Here is a 20,559-nt window from a genome sequence, read left to right as displayed (position 1 = left end):
AGATAAGTATATGAAATGTCTAACGTTCAAACCTTGTTTTCTTAAAACCTTACACATCATATAGGTCCTTGTAAGAGGATAAACAAACCGGCTAGCCTTTCCTGGGGCTTTTTTAGTGACGTGTGCAGTCAGTTATTTGGTGCCTTGTGGGTCATGATTTCCATTTCTTCTGTGTACAGGCATAAAAGGTCTTCTGTTCTTATACAAGCATGTAAATCCAACATTCTCATTGTCTCATTTTATTCTTGCAATGACCCTGTGAAATGTGTAGAAGCAGCATATCCTCATTTTACAATTGAGAAACATGGAGACTCCAAATGGATTATTTACAGGTTCACAAAACAGCTTTGTGGCACTGAAAGGGCGAGAGCCAAGATCTCCTGATTTCTGTTCCTGTGTTCATAGATTCTTTTTCCTTAATAAAAGTAAACATATATCAAGATGGTCCTTGTTTTTTTAAAATAAGATGATTAAAATTAAAGATTAATGAGCTCATAGGAGATACTCAGAAGTACTGAACAGGGTGAAGAAAACTAAAAACTAACCACCTTATTAACATTTCTTATATTTGAGAGCATTTCCTTCTGGTTCTTTCTCTATACATATAGTATTTTTTATGAGATTGTTACCATGTTACTATGTTGTGTGTAGATGAGCTAGCCTGTTTTTTAAATGTTACTTTAGTTCTGAGCATTTTTAAACTTAAATGTTTTTTGAATATTAATGAGTTCATGGTGTCCCATCACATGGAAGTACTGTAAATTCTGTTCCTTTATTTATGTTGTTTCTGGTTTATGCCATTACAAATTCTAGGACACTGTCCTAGTTTTGTAGGGTATTCAAAATATTCAGTTTATGCTCTTACCACTAGTATCTGATAGTGCCATTTTCGCACTTTTGCTAATGCTGACTTACTAGTTTATAAAATCCTTTGCCAATTTGTAGGAACAAAAGTTATATCAATTTTTAAGTTTTTTTAATACTAGTCATGCTCAACAATTCATGCAAATGGCAGTTGGTAGTTTTGCCATCTTCAACGTGGGTACCTTCCAGTTGTTTGGTTTCTTGGTAAAACTCACACAAAACAGATGGAGAAGAGTTTTTGTATATCAACATGAATGTTAATGTGATTTTTTTAAAGCCAACGAACACATTTGTGTTCCTTGTGAGATCCTGTGCATGAATTTGTCAGGTAATTTTTTTGACTTGAACATTCTCATAATAGCTTCAATTTGCACAATGCAACCTTGTCATTTTGCAGATTTTCAAGGCTCACTTCAAAAACATGTTCCTTGAGGCCTATTAACATTTCTTTCCTAAATTGTCTATTCATATGGTGCTTTAAAAAATTAGATTACTTTTAGTATATTTATTAGAGCCTCACAGTTTAGAGTCAGTAGTCAATTAAAGTCCCTACTTAAACTTCAGACTAAGATTTTTTTTTTATTTAATATTTTATTTTTTCTTTTTGCTTTCATGCAGACAGACATTTTGCAAGACTTTAAGATTCTTGGGCCATTTCTGTCAGGTTGTTCTGTGTTCTGTGCCTGCTTCCTCCCCATAGTAATTTCAAAATAGTTATCCTCACCTCTGTAAGGTTTCCAAAATCAAACTTGGGCTTCTGGCTAGCCTTTTCTAGGTCTTGATTTTTCAGTGCTTTCCAGAGGCAATTGTTTGGAACCTCTTGGCACAGTTTCTGTTTCTTCTTCCATGTACAGGCATAAAAGGTCTTTTGGTTGTTTTCTGGTAAAACTATCATAAAACAGTTCAAGCAAATGACTATTGGTAGTTTTGTCATTAACATGGGTGCCTTCTAGTCGTTTTGTTTCCTGGTAAAACAGACCAAACAGAGGGAGCAGACAGTTTGTACATCTGTATGAGTGTTGATGTGCTTTTTATTTTAAGCCAGGGAACACATTTTATGTTATTTATGACATCCTTTCCATGAATTTGTCAGGTGATTTTTGAGCTGAACATTCTCAGTAATAGCTTTAGTTTACAAAATACAACCTAGTCTTTCTGCAGATTTTCTAGGCCCACTTCAAATGCATTGACCATCAGATGGCATCTTGGTTCCTTACGTCCTTTCTGTGACTGAATGTCCATAATTCCACATCATACTGATCTTTCTTAGAAAAGGCAACAGTTACTTTCTCCTTTATTCCTTTTTTAATGCTTGTGAGGTAGTTCTTGTTGATCACAGCGATGCTATTCTCTTATTCTTCATGTCATATTTAGCAATTTTTTTCTAGTTTGTCATTTGATAATCTTGATTGGTATATTTTGATGTACAGAAATTTAAAATTTATGTAGTTAAATCTTTCTTTAATTTCTATTGCTTTTGTATTTATAGCTCTTGCCTAGATAGTCTTAACTGTAGTATAGACTTTAACAGTGTTTTCTTTCTTTTCTTTTTTTTTTTTTAGTTGCAACTACTGGCCCTTCAGTATATTATAGTCAGTCACCAGCATATAATTCCCAGTATCTTCTCAGACCAGCAGCTAATGTTACTCCCACAAAGGTAACAAAGGAATAATTTATACATTTATAATTATTTTCTTTTTAAATTGTTTAGGGTTCCTTCAAATAAATTCAAGAGAGCAGTTCACTATTAAAACTTTTATGTCCCTTAAAATGTAGATATTTTAAATTTATCTCCAAATACAGAAATTATCCTTCTTAGTCACCTTATTTTTGTGTTAATAAGTGTGAATATTTAGAATATTTTAAAAATGGGAGTGGTGGTGGTGGATCCTTCATCGTTCTGTTTTAACAGAAATAGAACTGTAATGCCCTTGCTGACCCACTATGTGGTAAGTACTTTCAGGCCTGATACAGCTATATATATAACAATTGATTGAAGACTCAATATTACAGTGGTAGTTGAATGTGACAGCTTTGAGGACAGAGTGTTGGGGTGCATTTAGACCCTTGTTCTTCTGCTTATTTTGACCACAGGCAAGTTTCTTAACCTCTCAATGCATCAGTTGCCTCATATGTGAAATGAGGGTAATAATAATACCTTAATTCATAGGGTTTTTGAGGATATTAAAATGAGATAATAATGTAAAGTGCTTAGAACAGTGCCCAGCTGGCACATTAATAAATGCTCAATAAATGTTATCATCATCATCATCATCATTATTGTTAACATCATTTGATAAATTGTTTAGGAATGAAGAAGGTATTTATTTCATGACTATTTTGGGCATGTGGATCAAGAAAATTCACCTTCATTTATGTTTCAGGGTTCTTCTAATACAGAATTTAAGTCAACCAAAGAAGGATTTTCCATCGCTGTGTCTGCTGATGGATTTAAATTTGGCATTTCGGAACCAGGAAATCAAGAAAAGAAAAGTGAAAAGCCTCTTGAAAATGATACTGGCTTCCAGGCTCAGGATATTAGTGGCCAGAAGAATGGCCGTGGTGTGATTTTTGGCCAAACAAGTAGCACTTTTACATTTGCAGATGTTGCAAAATCAACTTCAGGAGAAGGATTTCAGTTTGGCAAAAAAGACCCCAATTTCAAGGGATTTTCAGGTGCTGGAGAAAAATTATTCTCATCACAATGCGGTAAAATGGCCAATAAAGCAAACACTTCCGGTGACTTTGAGAAAGATGATGATGCCTGTAAGACTGAGGACAGCGATGACATCCATTTTGAACCAGTAGTTCAAATGCCTGAAAAAGTAGAACTTGTAACAGGAGAAGAAGGTGAAAAAGTTCTGTATTCACAGGGGGTAAAACTATTTAGATTTGATGCTGAGATAAGTCAGTGGAAAGAAAGGGGCTTGGGGAACTTAAAAATTCTCAAAAATGAGGTCAATGGCAAACCAAGAATGCTGATGCGAAGAGACCAAGTACTAAAAGTGTGTGCTAATCATTGGATAACAACTACAATGAACCTGAAGCCCCTCTCTGGATCAGATAGAGCATGGATGTGGTTAGCCAGTGATTTCTCTGATGGTGATGCCAAACTAGAGCGGTTGGCAGCACAATTTAAAACACCAGAGCTGGCTGAAGAATTCAAGCAGAAATTTGAGGAATGCCAGCGGCTTCTGTTAGACATACCACTTCAAACTCCCCATAAACTTGTAGATACTGGCAGAGCTGCCAAGCTAATACAGAGAGCTGAAGAAATGAAGAGTGGACTGAAAGATTTCAAAACGTTTTTGACAAATGATCAAACAAAAGTCACTGAGGAAGAAAATAAGGGTTCAGGTACAGGTGCAGCCGGTGCCTCAGACACAACAATAAAACCCAATCCTGAAAACACTGGGCCCACATTAGAATGGGATAACTATGATTTAAGGGAAGATGCTTTGGATGATAATGTTAGTAGTAGCTCAGTACATGATTCTCCGTTGGCAAGTAGCCCTGTGAGAAAAAATATTTTCCGCTTTGATGAGTCAACAACAGGATTTAACTTCAGTTTTAAATCTGCTTTGAGTCTATCTAAGTCTCCTGCCAAGTTGAATCAGAGTGGGACTTCAGTTGGCACTGATGAAGAATCTGATGTTACTCAAGAAGAAGAGAGAGATGGACAGTACTTTGAACCTGTTGTTCCTTTACCTGATCTAGTTGAAGTATCCAGTGGTGAGGAAAATGAACAAGTTGTTTTTAGTCACATGGCAGAACTCTACAGATATGATAAAGATGTTGGTCAATGGAAAGAAAGGGGCATTGGTGATATAAAGATTTTACAGAATTATGATAATAAGCAAGTTCGTATAGTGATGAGAAGGGACCAAGTATTAAAACTTTGTGCCAATCACAGAATAACTCCAGACATGAGTTTGCAAAATATGAAAGGGACAGAAAGAGTATGGGTGTGGACTGCATGTGATTTTGCAGATGGAGAAAGAAAAGTAGAGCATTTAGCTGTTCGTTTTAAACTACAGGATGTTGCAGACTCATTTAAGAAAATTTTTGATGAAGCAAAAACAGCCCAGGAAAAAGATTCTTTGATAACACCTCATGTTTCTCGGTCAAGCACTCCCAGAGAGTCACCATGTGGCAAAATTGCTGTAGCTGTATTAGAAGAAACCACAAGAGAGAGGACAGATGTTATTCAGGGTGATGATGTAGCAGATGCAGCTTCAGAAGTTGAAGTGTCTAGCACATCTGAAACAACAACAAAAGCAGTGGTTTCTCCTCCAAAGTTTGTATTTGGTTCAGAGTCTGTTAAAAGAATTTTTAGTAGTGAAAAATCAAACCCATTTGCATTTGGCAACAGTTCTGCCACTGGGTCTTTGTTTGGATTTAGTTTTAATGCACCTTTGAAAAGTAACGATAGTGAAACTAGTTCAGTAGCCCAGAGTGGATCTGAAAGCAAAGTGGAACCTAAAAAATGTGAACTGTCAAAGAACTCTGATATCGAACAGTCTTCAGATAGCAAAGTCAAAAATCTCTCTGCTTCCTTTCCAATGGAAGAATCTTCAATCAACTACACATTTAAAACACCAGAAAAGGGTAGGTACTTTGTTGTTAAAGTTAAGCACAATTTTTCTTTCTTTTAATGTTTAGCTTGATGCAGACTCTTTGTGGGATACTAATGTTGGGATATAAACGATGCTTTGTGAACACCCCCAAAATATTTGAGCAATTTTTTTTCTCCCTTAATAAGTTCACGGTGAGGTTTCAAAGAGCAAGAGAACTTAGTTAAAGACATTTCAGTAACTGGAAGATACTTCTATCATGCTAGGGCAGAGCAAAAGAACTTGGTACAGTGTACGGACTCATGCTTGAATCATGCGCATTAACGTGAGTCTTTTTTTAAAGTGTTCATTTTCATTTGTTCTGTTTCTTTTGTCACTCAGAAAACATGATATTGAGGCTGGGCACGGTGGCTCACTCCTAGAATGCCAGCACTTTGGGAGGTTGAGGTGGGCAGATCACTTGAGCTCAGGAGTTCGAGACCAGCCTGGCCAATGTGGTGAAACCCTGTTTCTACTGAAAATACAAAAATGAGCCGGGCGTGGTGGTGCGTGCCTATAATTAGCAGCTACTCAGGAGGTTGAGGCAGGTGGATCGCTTGAGCACAGGAGATGGAGGTAGCAGTGAGCTGAAATCATGCCACTGCACTCCAGCCTGACTGAGTGAGACTTTGTCTCCAAAAAAAAAAAAAAAAACAAAAAAACAAAAAAAACCATGATATTGAGATGTTCTCATTTTATGTGTTGTATGTCAGTCTTGCTCATGTATTAAATGAGCAAAGAATGAAACTACAGGGATAAATGAATATGTAAGACAGTCAGATTGGTGGTATAAATTGAGGGATTCTGGCTTTTTATGTTTTAAAAGCATATTCATTTTGTTTCCTAAAATGTTAAAAAATGAAATATTCTTTATTTTCTAGGATTTAATTTTAGCCTTTTTAAATCTAATCCCATGGCCTTTTGGACTAGCACCCCTTCCTCACAGCCTGAGAGCAAAGGTATAGAACTAGCATTCTCAGTATGAGATAACAGCAGTTTTTAGCAGCTGGTAGCCCTTAGGAAAGTATTAATAACTGTGGCTGTATGAAATGAAGTACTTACCACTACAACATGAATGTTAAAGAATGCCAGTTTAAGCAAAGTACCTTTTGACTGGTGGCATGACACCCTTGTTGGTTTGTTTTTTAAAATGTACTGGGATGCTGATTTGTAATGTACTTCATTGCTCTGCTATTTCAGGTCTGCTCAGTGAAGACCTATGTTTTATCTAATGTTTATCTTTAGCCACTAACGTCTGCCAGTATTCACATGTAGTGGCAACGGCATGTATACAGTATGGAAGAGTGTCCCTGTAGGGCTGTTCTTTTGTGCATGGTTTAGAAAAATGTTGTATTTGAAAATGGACCCCATTTTTAACAGCCAGCATTCTACAGCTTGCATATTATATATGTTGCACAGATCATTTTTAGAAGTGTGGCTACTAGAGTGGAACAAGAAGTGGGATCTGTTGAAGGCCTTCAAGAACAGGTTAGGGAAGTGAAACCTCACCCTTAGTGACCAGTAACACATCTTAGCCATGCCAAACAAGTACAATGATAAAATAACAATCTCTGATTTTTTTTTAAGTATACCAGTTTTATTACCAGCTAAGGTAGCTCTTAATCTTTTATTTTAAAGATACGGTCTTTGAGAAATGTGAAAAGTGTTAACTTAAAAGTGGATGTATACTTGCGTACAGTTTCTGTGAGCTCTAGGTTAGGAATCCCTGACCTAAGAACGAATGTGCCTATACACTACTGTAGAACATAGAGCCTTATTCTGTTTTGAATCTGATAATGTCATTGTCCCAAGGGACCTTAGAAATGAAGACTTTAGACATGAGTAAACTGAGGCCAAGAGAGGCTATCTGATTTACCCAAGAGGTCTTTACTGAGTAATAGCAGAAGTGGAACAAGAATCTGTATCTTACGGTGTACTGTTATTTCTCCTAGCTAGGAAATGATACTAGGTTTTCGTTTATAATGAAGGAGAGGGACAAATTTAACATTGTAAAAGGAAGGGCACTGGTTCTGCAGAGCAGTGTCATCCAATAGAAATAAAATATAACCTGTGTATGTAATTTAAAATTGTCATTTGGTGCAATGGCTTGTGCCTATAATCCCAGTTACTTGGGAGGCTGAGGCAGAGGGATCACTTGAGCCCACAAGTTCCAGGCTTCAGTGAACTATGATCACATCACTGCACTCCAGCTCTGGGTGACAAAGCAAGACCGCATCTCAAATAAATACATAAATAAATAAATTTTCTAGTAGCCATATTAAAAAGAATAAAAAGAAACAGTTAAAAAGGGAAACAGATGAAAGTAACTTTATCGATAGATTTGATTTAACTCATTATGTCCAAAATATCATTTTAACTTCTAATTAATATAAAAATTAATGATATTTTACATTATTGTTTTTCACCAAGTCTTCAAAATCCAGTGTGTGTGTTTACACTTACTGTTAGCATGTCTTGATTTGGACTAGCCACCTTGTGAGGTTTTAATAGAATGTGGCTAGGCTACCATATTGGACACCATAGCTCTCAGAATGTTTCCCTGTCACCAGTTGGTATACATGGCATGCTTCATAACTGGCTTACTTTATTAAACTCCTTTAGCCAGAAGTTGTTCTTTACATTAATAGATCAGAACAGGTTGCATATAGAAGTTTTTTCTGTTTCTAATTTTTTGCCCTTTGCATTGATGGTGGCTGGGGATGGGTTGTTTTCAGCCATATGAATGGTCTTAGATTTTATAGTGTTAGCTACCCATAGAGTAACAGTTTTTATTTAATTTTATCTAGTATCATGCTTGAACACAGGCAAACTAGATGCAACTCTAGTCACCTTCCATTCTTGGCAATTGTTAACTTTCCTTACAGGAACTAATCACAGTTGGCTTTGGATTAGTTTCATATGTATACTAATACTTGCTTATGTTTTAAGATTTTTTTCAATTGCTGCAAATGCATGGATATTTTGGTAAACTATTGTATGCTAAGTATAGTTAGGCAACACTTTAAAATTTTTAACCTTTTTAAATTCTAGAAATTTGTAGTAATTCTTTTCAATGACTATTAAGTAAACACAAGATTTTTTTGTTTTCTTTCGTTTTAAATAGATTCTGTGTTCACTTAGGGTTTTTGGTAGAAAACTAAATCAGGATGCTAATTCTAATTCATGATTATCGTACATCTCTGCATCAAAGTATATGTGTTTTTTATCAGTATGCTGTTTTAACCTATAGATAGGTTCCATGGTTTTTATTTTCAGGTAGAGTATTAACGTCAATACTTAATACCTTATCTTTGTCAATTTTTTTGACTGGTGTTACAGCAAAAGAGAAGAAAAAACCTGAAGATTCTCCCTCAGATAGTCTCGGTCTCCTGACCTCGTGATCCACCCGCCTCGGCCTCCCAAAGTGCTGGGATTACAGGCATGAGCCACTGCGCCTGGCTGACACATGTCTTAATTCTGGTATTCACCAGATTTGTTTCGTGTTCTCCGTTGTTAGTCATCAAATTTGTCTACTTTTTAAATAGAAACATTAGCTAGAGCAAGGAACTTAGAAACACTCAAGCAGCACTGAATGTGTAGAATTGCATAACCAATATAGCTTCTTTGCTTTCATATTTACAATTAGTTGGAGTTTTAGTTCAGCCGTACCCAGTATCTTCCATTCTGCTTCCAGGAAGAAATGGAAAAATGTCAGCCATGATGATGCAGTATTTTAGTAGCAAGTTGATGGTGTTTTGGTTTCCCATGGGAAATATTGTCACTGGAGCATTAGCAGCTATCGGTCACTTATTAGGGTAAAAAAGCAACTTCAGAAGAATTTAACATATGCCAAAGAATCAACAAAGGAAGTAATCAGCCAGGGCAAAGGTCGCACAAGAGATTGTAATCTAGCAATCAGCAGTGGAATAAGCAGTCAGCTTACCAGAAACCCAGGAAAATGCTTTAGAAAGGGCAGTCAGGACTAAGGCAATTTAATGAAATGCAAAATAAATGAAATCTGAAGTTTAAAAATCTAGATTACAATTCTGGTTTCTAACTCAGTTATGAGACCTTGGGCAAAGTCATTAAATTTCTCTGAACTTCAGATTTTTGGGAGTCAATAAACCAATACATGTCAAAGGGCCCGATAAACTTTACAGTTTAGACCAGGCGTGGTGTCTCACCCCTGCAATCTCAGCACTTTGGGAGGCCAAGGCGGGTGGATCACATGAGGCCAGGAGTTTGAGACCAGTCTGAACAACATGGTGAAATCCCATCTCTATTAAAAGTACAAAAATTATCTGGGCGGGATGGCATGCACCTGGAAGTCCCAGCTACTTGTGGGGCTGAGGTGGGAGGATGGCTTGAGCCTGGGAGGCAGAGGTTGCTGTGAGCCAAGATCGTGCCACTGCACTCCAACCTGTGTGACAGAGTGAGACCCTGTCTCAGAAAAAATATAGTTTATCAGCAAACAGGAAAGTCTTGCTAGGCAACGTAATTGATTAGTTCTGTGCCCTGGATTCTGGGCTCTTAACTGTATGAGCACTGTAGGTGTGAGCAGCAACAATTAAGAAGCTGCAGAGGTAAAGGTATAAGGGCAGTGATTGAGGATGTCTACCAAGCAGATTTCGGCAAGTGTGTTTCAAGAAGTATGCCGCAATCTGAAATACCTAATCCTGAAAAATTGCTAGAATCTAGTCTTTTAATTTTGGCCAGTATTTAGCAGTAGTTTGGCCCTCTACTCTAAATTAATAAAAAATAAGTAGTACTATATTATGAGCTGTGTTATCTAACAGTTTATCTTAGCTAGTAGCAATTAATTTATAGCTGCTATTAAAATGACTAACGTAGTTAAAAGTTTGATGACTAAGTTTTTTTTTGTTTGTTTGTTTGTTTTTTTGAGCTGGAGTCTCGCTCTGTCGCCAGGCTGGAGTGCAGTGGCATGATCTTGGCTCACTGCAACCTCCGCCTCCTGGCTTCCAGCAATTCTCTGCCTCAGCCTCCCCAGCAGCTGGGATTACAGGCACCTGCCACCGTGCCTGGCTAATTTTTGTATTTTTAGTAGAGATAGGGTTTCACCATCTTGGCCAGGCTGGTCTTGAACTTGCTGACCTCGTGATCCACCCACCTTAGCCTCCCAAACTGCTAGGATTACAGATTTGAGCCACCACGCCTGGCCTTGATGACTAAATTTTAGGAAATGTTTTAGCAATTCTTCATACACCTTTCACTTATAGTTACTTAATTCCTCTACTCTTATCATTTGATATTTTCATTTTATTGTGTATCTCTGTAAGGCCGAATCAATAGATTTTGAACAATCTCACACTTAACCTTTAAAAAAAATCTAATAGGCCCAGTTTCCTCTCAGCAGTCTTTGAAGAACCTTCGAGAAAGGAGAAACACAGACCTCCCGCTTCTAGACATGCACACTGTAACCCGGGAAGAGGGAGAAGGCATGGAGACAACTGATTACGGAGTCTGTGTCTTCCGCCAGCACATACACACAGTCTTTAGAGCAGCTGCTTAATTCTCCCGAAACTAAACTTGGTCTGTTACTCTGTCTAAATATGTTCTTCTTCTTTAATTTCACTGTCTTATTTAATTACTATTACTCTAAGGTACATATGCTTTTTTGGGCTGCTCCAATAAAATTTCTTTCAATATTCCACTACCTGTTTGTATTAGGGTTCTCTAGAGGGACAGAGCTAATTGGATGGTTGGATGGATGGATGAGATGGATGGATGGATGCTTATTAAGTATTACCTTACACGATCACTAGGCCATCTGCAGACTGAGGAGCAACGAGAGCCAGTCCAAGTTCCAAAACTGAAGAACTAGGAGTCTGATGTTCAAGGGCAGGAAGCATCCAGCACAGGAGAAAGATGTAGGTTGGGAGGCTAGGCCAGTCTCGCCTTTTCAGGTTTTTCTGCCTGCTTTATATTCGCTGGCAGCTGATTAGATGGCACCTACCAGGTTAAGGGTGGGTCTGCCTTCCCCAGCCCACTGACTCAAATGTTAATCTCCTTTGGCAACACCCTCACAGACAACACTCAGGATTAATACTTTGCATCCTTTAATCCAATCAAGTTGACACCCAGTATTAACCATCACACTGTCCAAATGGAAAAATTATTAAACAAATCTTTTTTAAAATAAAATGCTAGCTCTTGCCCTAGGCTTGAACCATAAATAAGTGGTGGGAAGTTTATAGTCACAAATAGGTGGTGGGTATTAGAAAGCAGGATAAACTATCCTCTCACCCTTCCAAGAAACTGACAGTTTCAGTTTATTCCTCTTGATGAAGTAATGCTAAATTTTTGTAGTGATGTTTTGGTATATTTTATTACCTGTAATTAATATTACTGTTCAAAATTTAGGGGGAATCTGTCATCTTCCTGAAACTTCAGAATCACCTGGAGTAAGGGTCATTTGTATTCATGGTCACTGACCACATGGGGTAGAAACTGCAAGTCATGGTTCCTTCAGGCAAAGTTAATAGTGGTGACACGGAGGCATCATGATAGAGCAGCAGACTCCAGAAGCCAATTTGACTTTGTGATTTCTGAAAAAATTACCTGTCAACTGTGAGCCTGTTTCATCGTCTGTAAAGTTTGAATAATGATACCTACCCCGCCTGATAGAAGATTCTTATGAGGGAACATGATACGTGACCAGTAAATGTTAATGCTTTCCTTATACGTGAAATGACATAAAATCTTGGAATATTAATAGATGGGAAGAAGATGTGTAATAAAACTGTCTATAAACACAATTCTGACAAATTTCAGAACTGGGACTCATAGGGCTTGTATTCAGTTAGATTACATGCTTTACAACAGAGATACTGTTTTATTTGTGTCACCTACAACATATAATCTGTTGATTGAGGTATGTTGAATAGATGAATGGCAAAGAAAGCAGACCTATAAAATATCACATAGTAAGATATTTATATTTAGATTTTTCTTATTTAGAATCTTCATCTGTAATGTATGATTTTGAAAATTAATTCTTGGAACAACATGTTGCAGAGCCTCCATTATGGCATGCTGAATTTACCAAAGAAGAATTGGTTCAGAAGCTCAGTTCCACCACAAAAAGTGCAGATCAGTTAAACGGCCTGCTTCGGGAAACAGAGGCAACCAGTGCAGTCCTTATGGAGCAAATTAAGGTGAGATCAGAAACCTGGCCACTGTGAAAACCGCCAGTTTGGTTTTCTGGACCCTCCATACACATGCACCCAAGTTTAAAAATTCACATTGCAGATGCATCTATAACGTCTTGATCTTTATATTAGATTATTAGATTCCTGATGGTGAGAAATAAATATTGCCTTTTTTTTTTTTTTTTTTTTTTTTTTTTGAGACAGTCTTGCTCTGTCACCCAGGCTGGAGTGCAGTGGCACGATCTCGGCTCACTGCAAGCTCCACCTCCCAGGTTCACGCCATTCTCCTGCCTCAGCCTCCCGAGTAGCTGGGACTACAGGTGCCCGCCAACATGCCTGGCTAATTTCTTTGTATTTTTAGTAGAGACAGGGTTTACCATGTTAGCCAGGATGGTCTCGATCTCCTGACCTCGTGATCCACCTGCCTTGGCCTCCCAAAGTGTGGGTATTACAGGCAAGAGCCACCGCATCCAGCCAAAATACTTCTTTTACACCTATTACATAAAGATTATTTCTTAATTCCTACTTTTCCTAAGAAACCGTAATAGATTTAGAAACTAGAGAGATGTTCACAAATCATTGTTCACATATGCTTAAATAAAAAATGGGTGTGAGTCTTTGAATTCTAAAGATAACCAGTGAATTTAAATTATTCAACTGATATTTATAGTACTGAACTACTAAACAGTTTTCAGGTGGAGATGGCAAAGTGGCATGGGAAGTTTTTCCTGTTTAAAGTAGACACCAGAAACATCTAGGAATGTTGCAGAACAGTTGAGGATTACTCAAATGAGGTATTTCCACCCTGGCTCACTGATAAATCACCCCTCAGAATATAGTCATACTGCTTATTGAGGAGTTCTTATGACCCAGGCCCTGGGCTCTACATACATTATTTAATCTCATCACTGGTTGAGAGAAAAATTGAAGCTGGTAAATGGTGGAACAAAATTCAAACTCATAGCTGTCTGAAAAGTACATGCTTTTCCCCTGTACTTTGCTGTTCCTAGTAGATCTGTCCTGCCACTGTGCAAGGCCACTAGCTATCCTTGTCAGATTATTTTAAAGCCGAATTCAGTTATTTTCAGTAAATTGTATATATCATGACATTCCACCATTAAATACTTCAGTATGCATCTCTATAAAATAGCATTTTCCCACTAATAAAAACATTATCATAGCTAACAAATCACTAACTAGCCCAGTAAACCTAAATGACTTATTTAAATGTTATATTTTCTTTTTTTTTTTTTTTTGAGATAGTCTTGCTCTGTCACCAGGTTTGGAGTGCAGTGGTGCAATCTCAGCTCACTGCAATCTCCGCCTCCCAGGTTCAAGCGATTCCCCTGCCTCAGCCTCCCGAGTAGCTGGGACTGCAGGCACGCACCACCATGCCCGGCTAATTTTTTTTATTTTACTAGAGACACGGTTTCACCATGTTGGCCAGGACGGTCTGAATCTCCTGACCTCATGATCTGCCTGCCTCAGCCTCCCAAAGTGTTGGGATTACAGGCATGAGCCACCACGCCTGGCCAAATGTTATATTTTCATAAATTTATACTCTCTTCATGATTTCTTCGTCTTCTTTATTGTCACTTTTTTAAATGGTCCTAGGTTTGAGGACAAAGTTCGCTAACTTTCTTGCCTAACCTAAAATGAAAATATACTAAAAGCTATGGCTTGGTTTCAACCTGGAAATCTTCCTCAAAGACTTGAACATGATACTACCTTTTTTATATCGTTCTTTGCCTCATTTCTCTGATAGTGTTTTACATTGTCTTATATTCCTGAATTTTCACTGTGTCTGAACTTTTTAAGTGCCGTTCACTGTGGACGTCTTAACTGCCTGGGACTTCAGGAACAGCGTAGGGGCAGGGGGTTAGTGGAGGCTACCGATGTTCCCCTCAGCCCATTTTCAGAGCCCCATGCCATACTGGCTTAGTTTCTATCAAAAGTAGAAGGCAGAGGGAACATCTTGGTACCAACCCATGGCTCCAGTTAGTTGCTCCTCATGGAGACGTTCCATCAGTTCCCCAGCTTTCAACTCCATTTCCATGATACCCTGTGCTTCTGAGACAAGAACTCCAGTATTTACACAGGATGCATCCTCTCCTGTCAGTGATACTTGGTAAGCTGCTGGACTGACTCATTTCCACCTCTTCATCTGTTTCTCGTGAGAATGTCTTGACGTTATCTCATCTACTTTTTCTCCTCTTGTATTAGCTTGTTGCTTTTCTACTTCACCCCTCTTCCTTCCAACCCCAAATAGCTTAGGACAATGGAGTCATATAGCCCAACACTTGGTTCATATGCAGCAATCCACTTTCTAGGCAAATGCAGCTTTGAAACTATCTCATAGTTGGAGTTCCGGTTTTCATGTCAAATGGATTTTATACGGTGATGTCATAAACTCCTTTGAAATGCTTCACATGCAGCTGCTGTAGTTAACTGAATTCCTTCCTTTATTGCCATATGGAGGGAAGGGGGAAATTTGGGGGGAAGAGAAGAAAAATACATGAGTTCAGTCTGCCATATTTAATCAGAAGCTCCTAAAGCCCATTTTTAACTCATTTCTCTAACACCAGCTTCTCAAAAGTGAAATAAGAAGATTGGAAAGGAATCAAGAGGAGTCTGCAGCTAACGTGGAACACTTGAAGAACGTCTTGCTGCAGTTCATTTTCTTGAAGCCAGGTAGTGAGAGAGAGAGCCTTCTTCCTGTTATAAATACGATGTTGCAGCTCAGCCCTGAAGAAAAGGGAAAACTTGCTGCGGTTGCTCAAGGTGGGTAAAAGGAGAGTCTCAGAACTTCTGACTTCTAACTTAAACTAAACAGCCTGGTGGTTGAGAAGTTGTCTGTATGTGTAACTTTTCAATTTTGCTCATTTGTATTGGGTCTGTCATATGAGTAGGCCGTGACTAGATTTGAAAAGCTGACTTTTTAACATCTTGAGGCAACTGTAGTACATTTATATAATTTTAACGTTCAGCAAAATACAATAAGTGCTTAGCTTGATCTTCTAGCTCTTTGAAAATTGGATTTTTATCCTGGTGTTGAGTTCTGGTGTTCAGCTGAACGTGGTTTTGTTTTAAATTCTACTTTTTAAAAAACATTTATTAGCTTGTTCCTTTTCTACTTCACCCCTCTTCCTTCCTCCAACCCCAAATAGCCTAAGACAATGGAGTCATATAGCCCAACACTTGGTCTATATACAGCAGTCCACTTTCTAGGCAAATGCAGTTTTAAAACTGTGCCATAGGCCAGGCACTGGTGGTTCATGCCTATAATCCCACCACTTTGGGAGGCCGAGGCAGGCGGATCACAAGATCAAGATACTGAGACTATCCTGGCCAACATGGTGAAATCTCGTCTCTACTAAAAATACAAAAATTAGCTGGACGTGGTGGCATGTGCCTGTAGTCCCAGCTACTCAGGAGGCTGAGGCAGGAGAGTCGCTTGAACTCACGAGGTGGAGGTTGCAGTGATCTGTCACGCCACTGTACTCCAGCCTGACGGCAGAGCGAGACTCCCATCTCAAAAAAAAAAAAAAAAAAAAAAAAAAAAAAAACTATGATGTAGTTAGAGTTGGTTTCCATGTCAGATGGATTTAATACTGTGATGTCATTAACTTCTTTGAAATGCTTCATATACAACTGCTATAGTTAACTGAATTCAAGCTGCATCTTAAGAATTATGGTTTCATTTTTGTTTTAGTTTTAAATTACTTTTATTTTTGACATTTACAAGCACAAGGAAGACGCTATAATCTCTCTTGAGTTGTCACCCATCTCTAACGGTTTTCAACTCATGGACAATCTTTTGGCGTAAATAGGGGAGAGTTAGAGACTTAAATCCCACACATCATTTCTTTCCCCAGTGAATAATTCAATGTTTATTGGATTTCTCTGTCACCTATACCTAGTTTATGTTCATTTTGCCTGTGTTATTGTGAATGTCTTTTTATAGTATCCTAAATAGGGCTCATATATTGCATTTGGTTGATGTTCCTTAAGCTTTATTTTGTTGTTGTGTTTTTGTTTGTTTGAGACGTAGTGTTGCTCTGTCACCCTGGCTGGAGTGCAGTGGTCCGATCATGGCTCACTGCAACCTCCGCCTCCCGGATTCAAGCGATTCTCCTGCGTCAGCCTCCCAAGTAGCTGGGACTACAGATGCACGCCAGCTAATTTTTCTATTTTTAGTAGAGACGAGGTTTCACCATGTTGGCCAGGATGGTCTCAATCTCCTGACCTTGTCATCTGCCCGCCTTGGCCTCCCAAAGTGCTGGGATTACAGGTGTGAGCCACCACGCCCGGCCATTTTGTTTTTTTTATCTATAACAATTACATATATAAATATATTTTTAATGTGCCACTTATTAATTGAAGAAAGTGGTCATTTATGCTATAGCAGTCCTATATTTGGTTTTTAATCATTACAGGGTAACACTGAGCTTGTTCTAATTGCCTATAAATAGGAAGATCCAGGTGCAATTGGGTGGGATGGTGGACAAAAATACACCATAGATGGTATTGTGTGCTTTCTAAGACATCAGGAGGCCCAGAATGTCCAGACATCTTACTTTTGACTGATTGACCTTATCTAGTTGGTGCTCTTTAACATGTTCCCCATCCCCTGTAAATCCTAATAACTAAACTGATAAGAGTCATCCTCAAAATTGAGCAGGCATCTGAATCATCTGGTATACTTACTAAAATTCCAATTGCTGGTCCCCAATTTCTGACCCAAGATTCTGCATTTTTAGCAATTCGTTGCTGATACTTCTGGTCTGGGGCCCATACCTTGAGAATCCCTGGTCTAGAGGCCTGATAAGATTCAGGCTTAATTTTTTTTACAGACATACTTCATAAGTAGTATTGATAGTTTCTTTGAATCTGGTTTTTAATAATCTTTCTAATGATGAAGGAGGAATGTTCTCAATACTGACAGTAATCTCAGTTCTTCAAACTATAGGATAGGTTTCTATAGCCACAATAGTATTTTTGTCACAAGGGCCCAAATAAGAATACATCATGTATATTTTTAGTAGTTATTCAAATTACAAGTTCACTGTCTTTAATTTATTCTAACAAAAGTAAACCTAATTTTATAGTTATAAAAAAGAAGAAATCTACTTCTAGTCACCTAAGAGTAAAACTGCCCCTATAAAAAACAAGACAGAAATCTCAAAATTATAACTAATTTTATAGTTATAAAATTAACCAGGACTTTAAGAATGTTTGCATTTTAAAATTAAAGTTTTCAATAGTTTTCAATACAACAATGATATTATCTCAAAATACTCAGCATGTCTAACAGGTCTCTTTTAAAAGCTCAGCATGTTTAATGTAGACGTTGCTAACGTCCAGGTGGCTCCTATAAGTTAAGGGTCCATTGATTTAGAAGTTCTAAAAGAGACTAACCTAAGGGATACCAAGAACAGATATTTTTAAAGAATTTCATAGAGGAGATACACATTAGAAACCCAGAACTCTAAGATGTGCATTTGGTAAGTCCTGTAAACAGACAGGAAAACACATTTAAATTAGTTTGCCCTTTAAAGATTATTTCCTACTTGTCTCTTATCAATGTGAGTACATAAAAGAGACCTTATTACAATTAAAAACAATGATGGTTTAGCAGCAGATTTAGATACCTTACATTTTCTCTTTAAGAGAGAGAATGTAAGGCCTGGCACGGTGGCTCACACCTGTAATCCAGCACTTTGGGAGGCTGAGGAGGGTAGATCACCTGAGGTCAGGAGTTCGAGACCAGCCTGGCCAACATGGTGAAACCCCGTCTCTACTCAGAATACAAAAATTAGCTGGGCGTGGTGGTGCATGCCTGTAATCCCAGCTACTTGGGAGGCTGAGGTAGGAGAACTGCTTGAACCCAGGAGGCAGAGGTTGCAGTGAGCCAAGATGGTGCCATTGCACTCCAGCCCGAGCAACAAGAGCAAAACTCTTATCTCAAAAAAAAAAAAAAAAAAAAAAAAATGTAAACTACAAGATAGTTCAAAAGAAATTACACAGAATTCAGCATGGGAGAAACAAAAAACAAGAGTGGGAAAAGACATCAAACATGTTTTTACTAATCGAAGTTCTAAAAGGAGAGACAAGAATACAGCACAGATAATATATGAAGAGAATGGCTGGAAATCTTTCAGAACTGTTGAAGGATATCTATCCACAGATTCAAAAACCCAATAAAATCTCAAGCAATATTAAAAAAAAAAGAAGAAATCTACTTCTAGTCACATAAGAGTAAAACTGCCCCTAAAAAAGACAGAGAGAAATCTCAAAAGCAGCCAGAGAAAGAAGACACATTGCCTCACAATAGACTTCTCAACAGCATTGGTGTAATACTATCTCATGTACTAAAAGAAATAACTGCCAACCTTTTATATTTTCCAAGATCTCTTCTGGAAAACAAAAACTTTAAGAATCTGCCTTCACTGAAAATTCTTAATGATGTACTTCAAGCAAAAAGAAAATTTCCTAGGTAAAAGTTCTAAGATGCCAGAAAGAAAGACATGCAAAGGAAACTTACCACCATATTACAGATATGGACTGTCAGTCTGACTGGTCACACTAGGGGCATTTGGTTACCAAGGCCTTGAAAATAATAACCAACACTGCATACATGAGGGATGCCAGAAGAAAGGTCTGAGAGCCACTCTTCCTGGCACTGAAGGAAACAGGGCCCATCAGAGCAAACAAGTACCTTTTACCTCTCTCCTTGGAAGCAAATGTTTATAATCTCTGGTTTTGTGTAAAGTTTATAACAGTATTTTTCATTCAGGTTGCTACCTATTAGTGGATGGTGAAATTAATTTGGTGGATCACATTCAGAATATTTTTTTAAAATCAAAAGAATACAAGCTGGGGTCAGTGACTCACAGCTGTAAGCCCAAAAGTTTGGGAAGACCAGGCAGGAGGATTGCTTGAGAACAGGAGTTCAGAATCAGCGTGGGCAACATGGCGAGACCCTATGTCTACAAAAATTTTAAAATATACCAGATCTGGTGGCATGTGCCCATAGTCCTAGCTACTCGGGAGGCTAAGGCAGCAGGATTCTTTGTTATAAGGAGTTTGAGGCTGCAGTCAAACTTCTGGTCGAAATCCTGGTCATGCCACTGCATTTCAGCCTGGGCAACAGAGTAAAACCCCATCTTTAAAAAAAAAATTAAGAAATAAAAATAATATGTGAAACATTAGAATATGTTGAATCTAGTAAGGATAAGCAATTATTTCTTGAAACTCTACATATATACATGAGTGTTGGTAAATACCTGACTGTATCATCAGCTCTAGATATAAAATGTTTATGATGTTGGCTGTGAGTTAATGAGGAATAGTTTTCCTTTCTGTGGGTTTGGGTGTATTTGGGAAACATTAGCTAAGGGGGTAAAGTAGGTTACCCAACTCTGAAAAGCAGCATCAAAATCTTTATAATAAACACATACTAGGGGCCCAACTTAAATTTCAAGCAGATGTCATGAGCTGCTCAGAGTAGCATGTTACAACTCTGCGTTATAAGGTAAAATGACACATTGCCTCACAATAGCCTGCCAGATCTGAGAACACAGCAAAATTTTTATTTTGTCAAAAATCTCATATTCAGCTTACACCATTCATTTCAGGTGAACATACAACAGTGCATTTCAGTTTAGGGAAATGTTTACAGTCATCTGGTTCTCTTTATTCCTGGGAACAAGGTTACCTCACTTGGAACACATAACCAGTGCCAAGTTGTCCATCCCTAAGCAATATTGCTTCCTTCTACTTTCTAGAAGTTCTTCAGATTGTGGAAGAGAAACTTTTCAGAGTTCTTTGCCCTCATTCCCTCCTCCAGAAATTCATGCCTTTGTATAATCTCTTCCCCCTGAGAGCCAGTAGGCTAACCTAATGAGTTATTT

General features: G+C 38.0%; 1 protein-coding gene across 10 annotated transcripts in view; it reads left to right on the top strand.

The window, feature by feature from the left end:
- The window catches only part of RGPD2 (RANBP2 like and GRIP domain containing 2), a 233,859-nt gene that overhangs the window by 202,223 nt on the left and 11,077 nt on the right, over window positions 1-20,559 (top strand). For 4 of the 10 annotated variants that reach the window (XM_047445734.1, XM_017004845.2, NM_001078170.3 and 1 more), the window contains 4 exons: window positions 2,427-2,521; window positions 3,249-5,472; window positions 12,513-12,652; window positions 15,232-15,427. In XM_047445734.1, the coding sequence (XP_047301690.1) occupies window positions 2,427-2,521; window positions 3,249-5,472; window positions 12,513-12,652; window positions 15,232-15,427 (2,655 nt within the window). Of the gene's footprint in view, window positions 1-2,426; window positions 2,522-3,248; window positions 5,473-6,358; window positions 8,450-8,816; window positions 9,689-11,165; window positions 11,366-12,512; window positions 12,653-13,334; window positions 13,441-15,231; window positions 15,428-20,559 lie in introns of those variants that run through there. The other 6 variants (XR_007081580.1, XR_007081581.1, XM_047445738.1 and 3 more) reach the window with 6 other exon arrangements.

This window comes from Homo sapiens, chromosome 2 (genome assembly GCF_000001405.40).
Source record: "Homo sapiens chromosome 2, GRCh38.p14 Primary Assembly".
NCBI lineage: Eukaryota > Metazoa > Chordata > Mammalia > Primates > Hominidae > Homo > Homo sapiens.
This window is presented reverse-complemented; position numbering and strand designations above follow the sequence as displayed.